The sequence below is a fragment of the Homo sapiens genome, chromosome 12, assembly GCF_000001405.40.
Source record: "Homo sapiens chromosome 12, GRCh38.p14 Primary Assembly".
Taxonomy (NCBI): domain Eukaryota; kingdom Metazoa; phylum Chordata; class Mammalia; order Primates; family Hominidae; genus Homo; species Homo sapiens.
Genome location: NC_000012.12, coordinates 84,975,431 through 84,992,934, shown reverse-complemented (window position 1 = coordinate 84,992,934; position 17,504 = coordinate 84,975,431). Strand labels below are relative to the sequence as shown.

At 35.0% G+C, this 17,504-nt stretch overlaps 1 long non-coding RNA gene across 4 annotated transcripts in view; it reads right to left on the bottom strand.

The window, feature by feature from the left end:
- Positions 1-277: 277 nt before the first annotated feature.
- The window catches only part of LOC102724680 (uncharacterized), a 79,821-nt gene continuing 62,594 nt past the window's right edge, over positions 278-17,504 (bottom strand). For 3 of the 4 annotated variants that reach the window (XR_945152.3, XR_945154.3, XR_945155.3), the window contains 2 exons: positions 3,898-3,993; positions 278-365 (listed from right to left, as the gene is read on the bottom strand). This is a non-coding gene — a long non-coding RNA (uncharacterized LOC102724680). Of the gene's footprint in view, positions 366-3,897; positions 3,994-5,932; positions 6,129-17,504 lie in introns of those variants that run through there. The other variant, XR_007063568.1, reaches the window with a different exon arrangement.

Sequence of the window (17,504 nt, the reverse complement as noted above, 5' to 3'; positions counted from 1 at the left end):
GGCAGTTTTCTATGCTCAAAATCTTTCCTATTTGCTTTACCAATCATAATGAATTAAAAAATCTAATAAGAGGCACCACTTATCATAGTAACAATATCTATACAGTATGTTTCAATTAAAATCATCCAGAATGCAAAAAACTCTACAGAGAAAACTTAAGACTTTTTAAAAAGAAACATAGAAGACAATAGGAAAAATAGGAGTTCCATGCTCTTGGATGGAATGATATCATTTCTTCACAAATTAGTTCATCCATTTAATACAATCCCAATACAAATTCCAGTTGAACATATTTTTATTTGTTTATATTCTCTTGCATTTTTTAATCTGTAATTCCTTTTTCTTTTTCTCTTCTTACGTTGCTCCTAGTAGAGAAAAGAAAGCAAGATGTCATGCCCAGCATATTCTTCGTAGACTCTTTTTTAACACTGAAAATTGAAAATTATTTCCAACTTCCTTTTCCTTAAGTCCACAGTAACATTTTGCTTCCCCTGCCTGGGGGTCTTTCCCAGGCTGAACCCCTAAACTGAGCTTTATTTATGCTTTACTCTCCATTCAAAATGAAAGCTCAGATGGCATTAAACAATGTATTCAAGAATAAACTGAAAAATATTTTTCTCAGAGTCATTATTTATTGTTCTGTACATAAACCTAAATTTTTCAGAAAAAGTAAAATAGGTTGGCAAACAAGATCATCAGCAAGTTTTGAATCTGTGGATTCAAAAGAATTGGGCTTTGCTGTACTATGTTAGAGACTGATGTTTCTGTCTCCAATTCCTTTTCTCCATTTCATCTACATAAGCCTTAGCTAGACTTATGCCTACCTAGCTTAGGCTACAATTCCTAGCTTCTCTTTCTGCTAAGGTGGTGGATGTAATCACTTTCTGGTCAATGAATACAATTGGAAGTTATATTTTCAACTATAGGGTCATGCCCATAAAAATAAAAGTTTGTACCCTATCTCCCTTCCCCTTCCCACGGCTGAAATGTGGATGTGGTGGTAAACTACCTTTTGCTATGTGGACGAGGACCATATTTTAGGGGTGACAGAGCAATAAGATGGAAAATATCTGAGTCTCTAATAGTGAAGTCTCTGATAGCGAAGATGGCATGCGAACCCAGGAACATGGGACCAGACCACCAATTAAAAGAGAAACCTCTTTTAAGTTACTCTATGTTTAGTTTCTTCTTATAGAGTTTATCTTTTTATCTTTTTTTTTAATCTTTTTTGAGACAGGATCTCTCTGTTGCATAGGCTGGAGTGTAGTGGTGCCTCACAGCTCACTGCAACCTTGAACCTCCTGGGCTCAAGCAATTCTCCCACCTCAGTCTCCTGAGTAGCTAGAACTATAGGTGTGTGCCATCATACCTGTCTATATATATATATATATATATATATATATATTTTTTTTTTTTTTTTTAAAGAAATAGGGTCTTGTTTTGTTGCCCAGGCTGGTCTCAAACTCCTGACTTCAAGCAATCCTCCCACCTTGGCTTCCCAAAATGCTGGAATTACAGGCATAAGCCATTGTGTGCCAGGCCTTAGCTTTTATCTTATCATTCATAATTTACCTCCATAATTTGGTGTGTGAATCTTTGTTTGGAAGCAGTGAAATAAATAAATAATGAAACACTGTCCCTTTCATACCTGCCATAGGAGTGAATTGTACCAATGGATATAGTTGAGCATTGAGCTAAAACTCCAGCTTTATGCACATGCTGTATATGTGTGTTTCTGTGCATACATATGTGTAGATTTAAAATTCTTTGAATTATTACTTTAAAAAACCGAAGCTGTGACAAAGGTAAGTATAGTACTAGAGTTTAATAAAGAAACATCATTTTATGTATAAGCTTTCAGCTTTCTACATATTTAAAAATCTCCTCTTAAGATTTAAGAAGTGTATCTTATGTTTTCAAAACTGTTTTTTACAGTAGTTTAAAATTTTTAAATTTGTTAATAACCGTGTAGTTTGAGTGAGTTAATACTTTTTCTTAAGAAAAAAACAAAGTCTGGGTAGAATAATGACTGCATATGTGTAAATAAAATGCAAAAGTTTAGGATATTTTAACCAATATGCATCTTAAATATTCTTTAACTGTAATTACATAAATCATCTCATTTTCCCTTCACAACAACCTTTTCCACAGATAAGGAAACTGAGGCAGAGAGGCATGAAGTAACTTGCACTGTAACCTGCTTTTAGGACGTGAAAAGATCTGGGATTTGAACAAGCAGTCTGACTACAGAGTAACCTTTTCAACTTCTATTCTCTGAAGGTTGTTACCAGCTAAGCACCAGTCATGGGATTTACTGACGGCTAAGATTTGAGAAACACTGGAGCAAAAGTGTTCAAAAGCTCCCTTTTCTATGAAAACAGTAACTGATGAAAGGTTGTTTCTAAATTCGTTTATAATGACATAGCAGTGTTGCACTAGTGAATGTTCCTTTTATTGGGAACAAGCAGAGGTGACATACTTTTGTTCTGAAAAGTAGCTTCAAATCTATGAAAGTTTTTTATTTGTTTGTTTTGTTTTGTTTTGAGACAGAGTCTTGCTTTGTTGCCCAGGCTGGAGGGCAGTGGCGCTATCTCAGCTCACTGCAACCTCCACCTCCTGGATTCAACTGATTGTCCTGCCTCAGCCTCCCAAGTGGCTGGGATTACAGGCGCACACCACCATGCCCAGCTAACTTTTTGTTTTTTAGAGACTGGGTTTCACCGTGTTTCCCAGGCTGTTCTAGAACTCCTGAGCTCAGGCAATCCACCCACCTCGGCCTACTAAACTGCTAGGATTACAGGTGTGAGCCACCATGCCCGGCCTTGAAAGTTTGCAAGTTAGAGAAGTTTGTAAAAAGAGGAGCTCCTGATTATGACAAAGTAATGGCTAGTGGCTAGGACAAATTACAAATGAATCTAATCAGACTTAGTATGTAGACTTGGAGTAGGATCACATTTAATTATAATTCCCCTAAGACACGGGCATGAAATGGAATAAGCAATTTTTTTAAGCTAGTATTCCATTAATTATAGTCCCTTAAACTACTTATTGATAATTTATTAGATATTTGAGTTGGATTAGTAGATATTTTATTTTTAAGACGATAGACATTTGAATTAGAATTCAAATAAGAATTTTGTTATCAGGAGACTAGTGAAATGTGCAGAGAATTAGGAATTGGATATTTCATCTTTGAACTCTGTATAAACCACTTAATAGCTGTGAGACAATGGACAAATACATGGCCTCTCTGACTCTACATTTCTAAAACCCTAATTTAATAAAATTTATCTCTGAGCATCATTATCACTATTAAATAAACTAATATAGTTAAGTTACCTAATATTGTGCAGGACTCACAATATGTACTTAAAATGTCTTTATCCTTAACAGCATCCTCATTCCTCTAGTACTAAACTTGCTCCTGTATATTGCCCAATTTTATTACGTAAAAATCCTATTACCAATTAATAGAGCTGTCTCTATATAAATTTAGATTCACAGAGCCATATTTATTAAATAAGGTTTGACATTAGTTCATAGATAGGCATTGAGGAATGTTAAAATAAGCAGTTGTATAAAATACAATATATGTATTTTAAAATGTTCTTGAATATATCTTGAAGATATGAGGATCTCAAAAGAAATTTCTCTCAAGTGTCAGAGCCAGGAAAGACTGCTATACATATTATATTTTCATATATGCAATATACAGTGTGATTCTTTATTTTTACAATTTCTTATGAACCTTACTTATTTATTTTAACTATGGTGCCTCTAACTTCTCCCTCCACTGGATCCTTCCTAGGCTAAAAATGTAAGCTAAAGAAGCATGGGGGAAAAGAGACTCTAAAATAAAGACATTAGTAATAAGATAAATGCTTATTTCTCTCTTACCTAATTTGTGTGGTGATGAACTGCAGGCTGTCTCTGATACATTCAGTAACCTCCATATGATGGAATTAAGTCCCCACGATTTTACCACATTATAGCCTGTGAAAGAGGGAAAGGGAAGAAGTGGAGAGCACAAAGTTTGCTTTTAACTAAGCCTTGTGGAGGTTGCGAAGATCACTTTCACTTGTATACCCCTGGCTAGAGTCTAGAGCCACACTTAGCTGCAAGGGAAGTTAAGAAATTTAGTCTCTAACTCACTGGCCATGTGCCAAGCTAACACTTTTTATAGAAAAAGAGAATAACTTTTGGAGGACAAGTAGCATCTGCCATACTTCTAATCAACGGTTAAGCTTATTCAAATTTCTTCTACCTTAAGAAAAAAAAAAAGCAAAGTTAAACTCAAAAATTTAAAACTTTTTATTATCTCTTCTTTTTTTCAAGCTATCTTATCTTGTTGTTCCCATTGGTAGCCAAACTTCTCAAGTGTTCTTTCCAATTACTATCTCTGTTTTCATATCTCTTCTTCATTTCTGAAGCTATCTGGCATTTTCTCTGCTCCTTATACAACCAGTATGCCTCCTTCCATAGTTTTAATTACATAGTTAGGTCTAATTTCTTTAGTAATTCATTAGAGCATAATTATGGAGTCAGACACAGTTCTAGGTTATAGCAGTGAAAATAAGATCACTTCTTATCATTCTTATTAGAAAACAAAACTAAAGATAACACTTGATTAATGTTGTATTTTACCATTTTGATGAGGACTAAGAGGAAAGACCATGGTAATTCCATGAAGACACAAATACATGAGGCAAGGCTGGAACACATAAGGCAGGAACCACACCTGTTTTACCTGTATTCTCTTTCTAGTGACTAACACAATGTCTGACATAGAAACAGTACTAAATGAATATTTGTTGGAAAAATTAGAGAACTAAAACTTGTCATGTACTTATTGGTTTGACTTTTTGGAAGCTCAGAGTTCAAAAGGACTGCTCATTTCTTGCAGTTGTACGAGACACTGTGATATTGAATGTGCATGCATACACACTTCCTTCTATCCAAGTGAATTAGTGGAGAAAAAGAGTAGGGGACAAGGCTTGGGTGAAAATATAGACTTAATTACTGAGTAGAAGCAATGGGAAATTAACACACTCTATTATAAACACCCCACGTTTCTCATCTCTAAGATGGGTATAATTTCACAATGAGGTAATATAAAGGAATTAGGTATCACAAATGCTCAGTATTTTGGGCTCTCCTAACAATTGAACTATCTGGGAAGTGTAAAGTTCATCTATTGATTTTCTTCTTTACAATAGTAAATATACGATAGTAAAAGTGAAGGTATTTTCCCTTTTGAGATTTGTTCTCTCCACCATAGTTCTCTTCACAGTAGACTATTAAATGCACTGAAACTTTGATTGAATAATTAAATGACCCAGATGCATATTTCTTTACATGCTATTTATCTAGCACATGTCCTCATGTTGTCACGTCTGCATTTTTTTCTTTCTGGTTGAAGATATATAGCCAGAGTTTCTTAAAAACAGGGTGAATAAGTTGGGTTTGTTTGCAAATGTACACTACAGAATTTTCTCTTTCCTACTTTTATTATTGAAGCTTCCAAAACTATATATATATATATATATATATATGAGATAACTTACGGTTTTGCATTAGGCCTGATTATATATTATTCCATATATATGATTTTAAAATGAATAATTCTATACATTTTACTCTGTTGTATGAACTACAGAAAATAATCTTGTCCGAAAATTCATTTCTCTAGCTTTTTGAAAACGAGTATGGTAATAGTTAATAGAATTCTTAATCTTGTTCTTAACTGTGATGGCAACAGAGAAAGATGTGTGTGACATAGAACTACCCCCTTTCATGTCCAGCAACAGAGTAGGGTTTAACTTTATTTACTAAATGCAAATTATAACATGATGATGCAAAAGAAGAAAATTATTATATGTTATACATGTACATAATTTAACTTAAACTTTATAATAACTTCTAGAAAATATACCTTTTATATTACCATAGTCTCTCACTCCAAATAGTTTTCTTGGCTTTTCTTTGTTACCTTCCTCTCTTTCCTTTCCAGTCGTCATTATCATTGCAATACACTTGAAAATTCCAGTTGTCTGGATCAATATTTCTGTCTGTTTCATTTTGCTTAAATCCTTCTACACACTGTTGCAGGCCAGCAGAGTCACATAAGCACTGTCACATGCTTTTCTGTTGCTAAGGGCAACACTACAGATGGCAAAAACTGGCTATTGTATGTCACATTACACACGCAAACACATGATGGTTGGAAACAGCTTAAACATTTCAAAGGCAGTTTGCCTTTAAGTTTTATGATTTTATATGCCGTGTAATCATGTGGCCTTTAAAATATGGTTCTAAATTCAGTTAAATAAAATTTATTTCCTTTCTATGTTAATGTGTAATCAATTCATTGCCTCTATGACTAGATAAAATGAAGAGTCAAAACGGGATTCATAACAAACTGAGACTTTTGCCTGAATAATGAGAATAGACTGTATAAACTCCTCGATTCTTCAGTTGCTGTTTCTCTTGATTTTAGATAGCAATTTGTTCTCAACCTTATTTAAAAGACAATAAAAAATACATAAAATATGTAAAATACAAGGTCATATGTAGAAAAGGGTATGGTCCAGTCGATATCAAACTTTAATTTTTAATTTTCATATTGCTGCATAGTTCATTGTATATGCTGTTTTTCCTGTGATTTTACTTCAAGTAAATGTGTCTCAGTCTTGGGGATCTCACATATTTAAAAAAAATTACTACTTAATATGCACATACAGATATATAAAAGCATAAATATATTTAAGTAGATGACAGTTATGGTATAAATACATATAAGTATATAAAATGATATAAAATGTTTTAAAATTCTAAATCCAACTATTTTTTTTTCTTTCAGTGTAAAGAAACCATTCTTTCATGGATCAGTAATTCTTAGTGTAAAGTTTTATCTGAATTTTGTTCATTCTGAACAGTTGTCAATCATTTTGGTGAAGAAAGTTGAACAGATTCTCTGAGAAAAAAACAATGTGATTTTCACAAAACGAAAGTTGAATCTCAAGTTAAGTCTCCATGGACAAAGAGAATTGAAAAGTTGAAGCAATTTTTCAGCTAATTAAAGTGAGAGAGGATTGAGCACATTAACTAACCTAACTCACTGAGGCATTACTCAATTCTCACATTGCTATTGCAGGTATAGATTAATAATGCTATTTAAATAATCAAATCATTGGAAACTTTTAAGTATTTGATGGCACAAAAAGGGAATTTGGTTTTTAGGTGTCATTTGTCTATATCTATATTACCTCTATGTTCTTCAGTTTTTGGTGATGTTGAAGGAAAATGGATTTAAATCAGAAATTAGGATTTGAATTTCTCCTCCTTCACTACCTCGCAATATAATATTTGACCTCACTTAACCTCTCTGAGTCTCAGTTTCTTCATATGTAAAATAGAGCATCACGTGGGATTAGAACATATAAATGTAAATATTTTAAAAATAGCTTTTAAAAATACATATGATATATTTATATATGATGTATATCATTTGTATATTATGTATTTATAAATATGTTATATATTTTTACATAAATATGTTGGGCTATTATATAAATATGTATATTTATATTTGTATTATATTTAAATATATATACTACCTACATATATCAATACACAAATATATATAATTTTTAAAATCTTAGTTTTGCGTTAGGCATAGATAATGTTACTCCATGTATATGATCTTAAAATGAATAATTCTATTCATTTTCATCTGTTGTATAAACTACAGAAAAAGAATTTCCTCTGAAAATTCATTTCTCTAGCTTTTTAAAAACAAGCATCGTAATAGTTAATTGAATTCTTAATCCTGTTCTTAATTGTGGTGGCAACAGAGAAAGGCACATACTACACACAGCTGCTGTATGTAGCACCCCCTCACGTCATCCACCACACCATAATGGTGTAGCTTATTGGCATACCAGTGTTGGTGTACCCTGCTCCCATTCCCCCTCCTAGAGGCAGCAGGATCTGGTATCGGACCTCGCTTAACCTCTCTGAGTCTCAGTTTCTTCATATGTAAAATAGAAAATCACATGGGATTAGAACGTTTTCATGTAACTATATTTTTAAACAATATATTTTCACATATATTTGTGTTGTGTCATTATTAGGTACTGACTTACTGTTTTAGGACTTTGCTAGATTTAGCAATTACACAGAAAAAAAAAGAGAGAGATCAGGCAAAAGTGAAAAACAAAAACAGAGAAAGGAATACTCACAAACTAACACCAAAATATAATCTGAATTTTGAAATTATTGCTTATTATTGTCTAATAGAATATTTTGAAATATTATCAAACTGACAAATGTGCACATTTATTTCTATATGTAGTTGAATCATGTATTCCAAATATAATAAGTGAAGACATTTAAAATAAGGATATTAGCTGGTCGTGGTGGTGCACACCTATAGTCCCAGCTACTCAGGAAGCTGAAGGTGGGAGGACCACCTGAGCCCAGGAGGCAGAGGTTGTGGTAAGCCTAGATGGTGCACCACTGGACTGCAGCTTAAGTGACAGAGAGAGACCCTGTCTCAAAAAATAATATAAAATAAAATAAGGATAGACAAATATTTTTCAATTATTTATTATAGGGAATAATAATGTCATTTGGTACTATCATAGAAAATATGCTTTTATTTTACTTTGCCTACTCAGATATAATTTTCCATAAGAGCCCTTCATTAAAATTAAGAAAATTGAACTATTTAATGGCATCCATTTTACTAATCAGTATGTGCTTCTTTTAGCTAATAATATATATTCAAATATTTGATTCGGTTTTGCAGGCAAAAAGCCATAAATCTGTGAGATCTAATGGTCCTAGGAGATTAGCTCTGTCACATGCTGCAAACATTATCAATTACATGCTATAAATGAGACAATTTGAACAAGATTGTGAAACGATTTGGCTTAAGATAAAACCTTAAATGGAAGAAATAAGATTATAATTCACATTTTAATAATTTGTAAAAGTTAATAAAGTTATAAAAATAATTTAGTGATTCAAGCCAAACTCCCTCCTTTTACTTAGCCCCTTCTTTGACTATTTTACTAACAGTCACTGAATTTCACACTTTGTTTTCCTTCAGAGATGGTCTTATTTTTTCTCAAAAGAAGATAAGTTGGGGATGCTAGTTTTAGGCTCCAACCCCTGTGCAGCCACCTAAACATAGTGTAAACTGTGGAGATTAAAAAATCTTACCACTTTTTTTGGGGGGAGTATTTAGAAGTCTCTGCTTCTGCCAGGGATGCTTTCTCTTTTGTGTTCCATGTTTTATCTCAGATCGACACAGACGTGAATCTCAGCCCCTTCAGTGGTTCACACAAGCAGTCCACTTGGACAAAATATTTAATGGGCTTCCGTGTACTCAACTGGAGATTTGGGAAGAGTCTTTGCTGTAGCAGATTGCAATCTCTCATGTCCTGCCCCCTACTGTTCCCTTCTAACTCCTGGCCTGGCCCCTAGCCCTGTCACCTAAATTTCCCTCCTGGGGTGCCTAACACTTCTTTGGTTTTGATGGACAAGTTGCTTTTTTTTTTTTTTTTTTTGGTCCCTGAACTCAAATTTGCATTTCCAAACCCACAAAGAACTCAGCACCTAAGATCCCCAGTACATAACTATTCTGTTTTAAAAGAAGAATTTGGCACTGAAACTCTACTTAACACACACACACACAACAACAACAACAAACTCAACAAACAAAACAAAACAGAGGTACTGAATAATTTGGCAGTGGTTAACTGATTCTGGTTCCAGGCTCTGTTAGGGTTTGCGGTCAGGAGAGTAGCCCCTGGAGTTTCTGTTTTAGATGAAGCTAAGGCTCTGGGCTCTACCAGTTTAAAATTCCTCTCACTAGTCACATCTCCATTCCAATCCCAAAGCTCAGTTTGTCTCCTCAATCTGGGCTGTGGACTGCTGGTCACCAGTACAAGTTGCCTGCTGCTTATGCCTAATTATGGAGATGCAAAGGTATTGGATTTAGCCTATAGCTAACTAGATTAAATTCCACTAAACTCAGGCTTAATTATATTTTTGTTTTCAAATTTGATTTTTGATTTTTCTCGACCTTACCACCCAACACCAAAAGCCTATTTACTTGATTGACTTGACCTTTGAAAAGATCAGTTGATAATAAAATAAAATAAAAACTACTAATACTTATCATCATGTAAGAGAAAGTGGTAATTTAAAAAAATGAATTCAACTTCTTGTTTAAATTTCATTTAAACAGATTATTTTTTATGTATTGCCAGATTTTCTCATGTCAGTTATAAGCAAAATAAGCAGAAAGTAGTTAGGAAACTAAGAACGTTTTCAATATTCATAATTCAAGAGGCCAGGCACAATGGCTCATTTCTGTAATTCCAGAATTTTGGAAGGCTGAGGACAGAGGACTGCTTGAGGTTAGGAGTCCCAGACCAGCCTGGGCAACATAGGGTCCCTGTTTCTACAAACAATTGATGTGTGGTGTGGTGATGTGTGCCTGTAGTCCTAGGTACTTGGGAGGCTGAAGCAAGAGAATCACTGGAGTCCAGGAGTTTGAGGCTGCAGCGAGCTCTGATTGCATCATTGCACTCCAGCTTGTGGACCAAGCAAGACCTGTCTCTAAAAATAAAAATAAAAATGGATAAAATAAAAATAATTTGATTATTAGTCAACCATCAGTGGTGATATTTTTATCCTCTCTTCTGTTTCCGTCAGTACAAATTTTTGTTTTGACTCTCTGTCCTTCCTTCTTTTCCAAATGATCAGAGTTGCGACTCTTCAACTGCACATTTATCTCAACTGGTATATTTTTTATGCCTGCTGTGTTTCAGAACTGTTGTATGCTATATGGATTTTAGAGAAGTATAGAATACAGTCTTTAACTTGAAAGAAATGAAATGTGCTTAAGAAAATAAAATTATACCGCAGGAATAATTCAAAGAACAAGTAAAACTCTACCCATAGAATAAATTAGGCTTTCTTTTTTTTTTTTTTTTGTCAGACCACAATATGTTTTTGAGTTTCCTGCTTTTGCCAGGCATTCTGCTTGGTACTTGGGATACAGTAATGAGAAATAGAGACATAGTATTTGACCTTGTGGAAGGCAACAAATATTAAACAAATAAAAGCAAGAATGAGGGCGGTGATTAAAATTGTCATAAGCACTGCAGGGAAAAATATCAGATACTGTAAGCCTCAGTAATAAAGTGAACAAACCTAAGTGTACCTAGAGGAAGTTACAGTTACAGGAATAACTGCAAGAAGAATAGAATGTGGGTATAGAGAAAAGACCAGAATAACACAGAGGAAGAAGGATATAGGATAGTGATGATTAGGAAAGAAGTTTGGGACATTTGAGGATAATAGTGAACAAAGGTGATGGTGTTGGAACTAGTGAGAGATGACTGAGGAAGAGTGGCCAAATCTTATAGGATATCTTAGGACATATAAGGAATTTTATATTCTGTCCTAAGTGTACCAAAGTTTGACAAAGTTTTAAGCAAGAGAATAAGTACTGTAATCAAATTTACCCTTTAAAAATGTCACTAAGGCTTCTAAAAGAGAAAGAATTATGCACAGTAGCAGGTACTATTCATACCCTGGGTAGCACAGGATTAAGACGTGGTCTCGATAGGTGGCAGGATAAGAGACTTAAAAGTGTATTTATGAAGTAGAATTAAGAGTATATGGGAAGATTCAGATGAGCTTCAGTGACTGAGTAAGGTTCATGCAGGGCATGAGTCAGAAGGATAGGTAGGTTTTATATGGAGAAGAGAAAGAGGAGACTTTAAGGAAGGGTCTTTTTGCATACACTTGGGAAAGGTAAATATATCACTGGTGTTCAGGATAGTGATACTTATTGACAGGCTGATAGAGTTTGGATATTTGTCCCTACCAAAGCTCATTGAAATGTGATCTTCAGTGTTACAGTTTGGGCCCAATATGAGGTGTTTGGGTCATGGTGGCAGATCTCTTATCAATGTCATGGTGCCATCCTGTGTTTATGAGTTAGTGAGTCTCCTGTGCATTCACAGGAGAGCTGGTTTCTCAAAAGAGTGTGTGATTCCTCTTCTCTCTCCCTTTCTTTCTCACCATGTGATATGTCTGCTCCCCCTTTGTCTCTGCCATGATTGGAAGCCTCCTGAGACCTTCATCAAAAGCATATGTCAGCACCATGCTTTTTGTACAGCTTGCAGAACTGTGAGCCAAATAAACTTCTTTTCTTTATAAATTACTCAGCCTCAGATATTCCTTTATAGCAATTCAAAATGTACTAATACATAGGTAGGTAGACGGGAATTAGAATGCTTGAATGTTGAAGTCTTGACTCTGTAGGGCAATACAGAAACACTTACAATGTGGACAAGCAAATACTGTATTGGCAATATTTCTCTTGAAATGAAACACAGGATAAATTAGAATTGAAAAAATTGTAGACAGACATCCTGATTATAAAGCTATGGCGGCCGGGCGCGGTGGCTCACGCTTGTAATCCCAGCACTCTGGGAGGCCGAGGCGGGTGGATCACAAGGTCGGGAGATCGAGACCACGGTGAAACCCCGTCTCTACTAAAAATACAAAAAATTAGCCGGGCGTGGTGGTGGGCGCCTGTAGTCCCGGCTACTCGGGAGGCTGAGGCAGGAGAATGGCGTGAACCCGGAAGGCGGAGCTTGCAGTGAGCCGAGATCGCGCCACTGCACTCCAGCCTGGGGGACAGAGCGAGACTCCGTCTCAAAAAAAAAAAAAAAAAAAAAGCTATGGCAAACAAATAAGCAAAGATCAGCCCCTCCGATAAGAAAATTTACGAATTGGTAATTAACAATAAAGAAGTATAAGTGATCTGTAAAACTTATGAATAAGGGAGTAATTATTTTATCACTAAGCAAATAGGGCTGATCAGTATAACAAGATAAAATTTTAAGCTACACAATTGATAAGTATTACTTATAAGTGATAATGCCGAATTTTTTTTTTCAAGGATGACAAAACAGATACTCATACACGGTGGGAAGTAGGATTGAAAGGAAATTTGACAAGATCACTTTAAGTTTCAATAATTAATACTATTTAAGTCACTATTTCCACTTCTTTGTATTATCTTTAGGAAATAATCAGATGTTTGTACAAACATATATATATATATGTTTATATATAGACACACACAGATGTCTATATCAGTTATTTATAGTGAGACAAAATTAGTAATAAAATAAATATAAAAATGTAGATTTAAATATATATGATGTATTTACGAAAAAGTAGTATACATATTTAAAAACTGTTTTCAAAGAAAAGGGAGAAGGAACTAGAAGCATATGCAATAATATGTTAACAGTTCTTTTAACAAGAACAGCAATACCAAAAACTATGCTTTAAATAATTCATATTTTAAATTATTTCTATTTGTTTTTAATAATCAGAAAAACAATAAATTCTACTTTTAAAAGCTATTGCAATAGTTCAGTGCAAGGTCATTAAACTAGACTAGAGACAATGAGTATAAAAAGAAAAAAAAAGAGGCATAAGAAACTTTAGAGAAAACAATCTAATACAATTCAGTGGCTTAATGTACTAGATTAACAGAAGAATGAACTGAATTTAACTTCTGGGTGATGAGAAAATAGTAGAGCTATGGTTAAGAAAGAAAATTGCATGTCCTTTTTGGGAGAAGGATGAAAAGTTTAGTGTTGGAAATATTTAAAGAAAAATACATAATATTATTTAGGCAAAATAAGACTGGAGCTTAGGGAAAGGACCAGTTGGGTAAATTCACAAAAGAAAAGAACAAAGAAAAAGAATGGAGTAAGACTAAGGACTGGACCTAACATCTCACTGATTAAAAGCTTGGTATTAGCATTTCAATAATAGAGATAATAGGATTTGTATTTCAATCAGTAACTAGAAGACTAATGTTTTTTGACAGCTGCATATACACTTACTGGACGAGATTACAAATTAACTTGCTTAAAGCTATTTAGTTTGTCTGGACACTGTGACTTTACTGAGGAGACATGCCAGATATAATTTATATTATGTAGGTATTAAGGATAAATCTTGTGATGTTGCTGGCTGTGTTTCAAAAAGATTTTCTTTTTGGTTTTCTTAAAAATGTTCTAGTTTGTACTTCTTAATGATTACTTATTCTGCTGGTTTCTTTTCGGGTACATTTATTTTATGGGCTAATATTAATGTGCTTTACATGAAACACATGAAGAATATTAGTGGGAGACAAATTGCTAGCTATTGGTTCAATATAGAAAGCACCAGAAAACCAATTTCTACAACATATTTTCATAACAGTTCCTTATTTTTAATTGCAAATATTTCAAATCAAATATAAGTAAAATACTCAAGCAATATTGGGAATTTTACAAGAAAATTATTTTTAAAACATTATTTTAAATACAAATGTTATATTATTTATTTGTGAAATAATTGTAAAATAAGTACCTTTTCTTCTTCCATTAGAATATAAGGGCAGGAATAAACTATTGTGCCTGTTCTCACTGAAGATTGACAATTAGTTACTTAATAAATAATTATTTAGTTAATAAATTCATCTTTTATAATAAAACTAAGATATTTCTATTGTTTGAATTTTTAAAATATGAAAATATGATAATAAAATATCATATGCCCTGCTCAAACTAAAATTTTTTCTTAAAATTTTATTTTGAGAATTATCACGGTCACAGAAAATAAAAGAATTATTTAGTAAATAAACATGTACCCATTACCCAGATTCTATTTTTAACCCTTTATAAATTTGTTTGATCATATAATTATTAATCCCACTACCCCTCTAACAATTCATCTTATTTTTTGATGCTTTTCCAAATAAGGTGCAGAGAGCAATATATTTCCCATATATTTAAACATGCATGGCATTAACTAGAGCTGAGGTAAAACTTGCGTATAATGAATTGCAAAATTCTTCAGTGTACCATTTAGTCCGTTCAGGAACTGCTCACAGGGCATACACCTGTGCAACCCATAATCCCTATCAAAATAAAGAAGACTACTGTAACCACAGAAAGTTCTTTCATGTTCCTTCCCTGTCAATCCTTGCTCCTACCATCCCAGAGACAACCACTACTCTTATTTTTTTTCTATAGATTAGTTTTTTTTTTCTGTTCCAGAACTTCCTATAGATCATGTAGTACATACTCTTTTGTGTAGTATTTCTTTCACTCAGCTCCATGTGCTGAGATTCCTCTGTGTTGTTTCATTCCTTTTCACTGATGACTGGTATCTTCTATGAATAAGCCACAGTCTATCTATTCTCTAATTGGTGGGCAGTTTCTTGTTTTGGACTATTATGAATAAGCTGTTATGAATATCATTGTATTTTTTTATATATGTGTGAACATGTGTTTTCTTTTCTCCTGAATAAATTCTATTCAGGAGTTCACATAGTAGGTGTATACTTAATTTTATAAAAATTGCCAGATCTTTTTTTCAAAGTAGTTGTACTATTTTCCACTCACACCAGTAATGTATGAGATCTCAGATTGGCCTACAGTCTTACTCACATTTGGTGTTGTCAGTCTTTTTCGTATTAGCCATTCTGTTAAATATAAATCCAACAAGAATTTTAAAATGACACTAGTGTTTCTAGGTTCTTCTTTTACAGATCACAAAACAGTATTTAATTCTAGTTAGAAAGAATCCAAAAACACATACAAGCCTTAAAAACAGATTTTTTTTTTTTATCATCCTTTGTCCCCACATCTGCAGGATACCGGAACAAGTCTCAAAGATTTCTTGCTTTAAGAATCAGAAAGGATCATGGGATAAGGAGCACCATGTAAGACTACCTCTCCTCAGCCTCTAAAGACTCCATCAGGAGTTAAGAGGAAGTCCAGAAGATCTGTGTTCTTCAAATAAGGCTACTCCTTGCTAGTCTCAACATCATCATTGCTCAGCAAAAGAGATGGCACCAGAACTCTGCATGCTCCCAGTGAAAGCCTCATTCTTTCCTTTCCTGAATACTATTCACAGTCCCATAACCACTCTGTGCCTGAGATGACTGGAAATCATTTTATGTCTTAAATATGGGACTACTTCTGTCACAACAAGGAAGTGCAGACACACAGGCCATTACTCCTCTCCTGAAGTCAGTTCCCATGTGGTTTTATGAACAATGAAGCAACTGTAAGACATAACACATATTTCATTTGTTTTCTGGGTCCTGTCAGCAGTGTATAATATACCTGATGGCAGAGATGATTTTTTCTGTTTTTGTTCACTGCTGTATCCTCAGAGCCTAGAGAACCTGGTACATAGTATTTGCTTAATAAGTACTTTATTGAATAAATACCTTTCATTCAATAGGTACCTATTGAATAAATATCTATTGACATAGAAGTTTTGATGCAGGATTTTTCTCAGTCATTTTGCCAGCCAGAGACCTCTGGCTGGTGATGCCCCTGCATCACCTGGGGCCTGGGCTCACCACAGGAGACACCCCAACCACTTGGCCCACTGGGCTGTGCCAGGCCTGCACTCCAGTGCAGATCCTGCAGCTGCCATGACCGCATGCCCAACCCTCATTGGGAGGGGAGTGTGAGCAAGTGAGTGTGGGGTCCGGCCAGCCATTCCAAGCACTGACACAGGAGTGGGATCCTTGCGGGGCTTGTGGCTGGACCAGGCATGTAGCAAGCCACTCCTGTGGTGGACTCTGGCACCCAAATGAGGGAAATGTGGTGGGTGTCTATGACCCCAAAGCCCCAGAGGGAGTGTTACAGCATGCTAATTTGCTCTTTTAGTCCCCTGTCTGCAGCCTGACAGATGGAGGTGCATTAATAGTTCTGCCAACCCTGTTACCTCACTCTGTTCCATGGCTCCAAGGCTGGCTCGGCCCTGCCACTGCTTTCTGTTGCATGGGGTGGCTGCCTTCACTGGCAGAGGGAAGAGGGCCACAGTGTTACAGCCTTTTTTGTACCTGCGTTCGATGTGTTCCGAGTTCTTGCACCACATCCAAGAAGAATGAGGTTAGGCTGATAATTGAAGGGTCAGGAGGATGGAGAAGAATTTTACTGAGTGACAAAACAGCTCTCAGCAGAAAGGGAATGCAAGGGTGGTTTCCCACCCAAAGCCGGGTGGTCTCTCTCCCAGTACAGCTGAGTCCAAGGGTTTTATGGGCTCAGATTGGTTTGTGAGTATGCAAAAAGGGTTAAAACTAAGGTATGGCTCAAAGATGGCCAAGACAGTGTAGAAAACAAATTAGGGAAGGGGAGTTATATGTAAAATAGCTGAAAGGTGGGTATCAGTTAGAGGAAAGCACTCCAAATGGGAAGAGAGGCTCTCAATCCAGTCCAAGGATTTACCTGAGACTTGTAGCTAGGCTTTAAACTGTCATGGGCTTGAAGGTCTGGTTTTACCATGGACCTGGCTCTGTCTGCCTAGGATTTGTCTGCCTCCTGCTGCCATCAGTTCCATGTCCTGAAGCGGGAAAAACTATGAAACTTACATATAAATAAGAAATCTAAGCA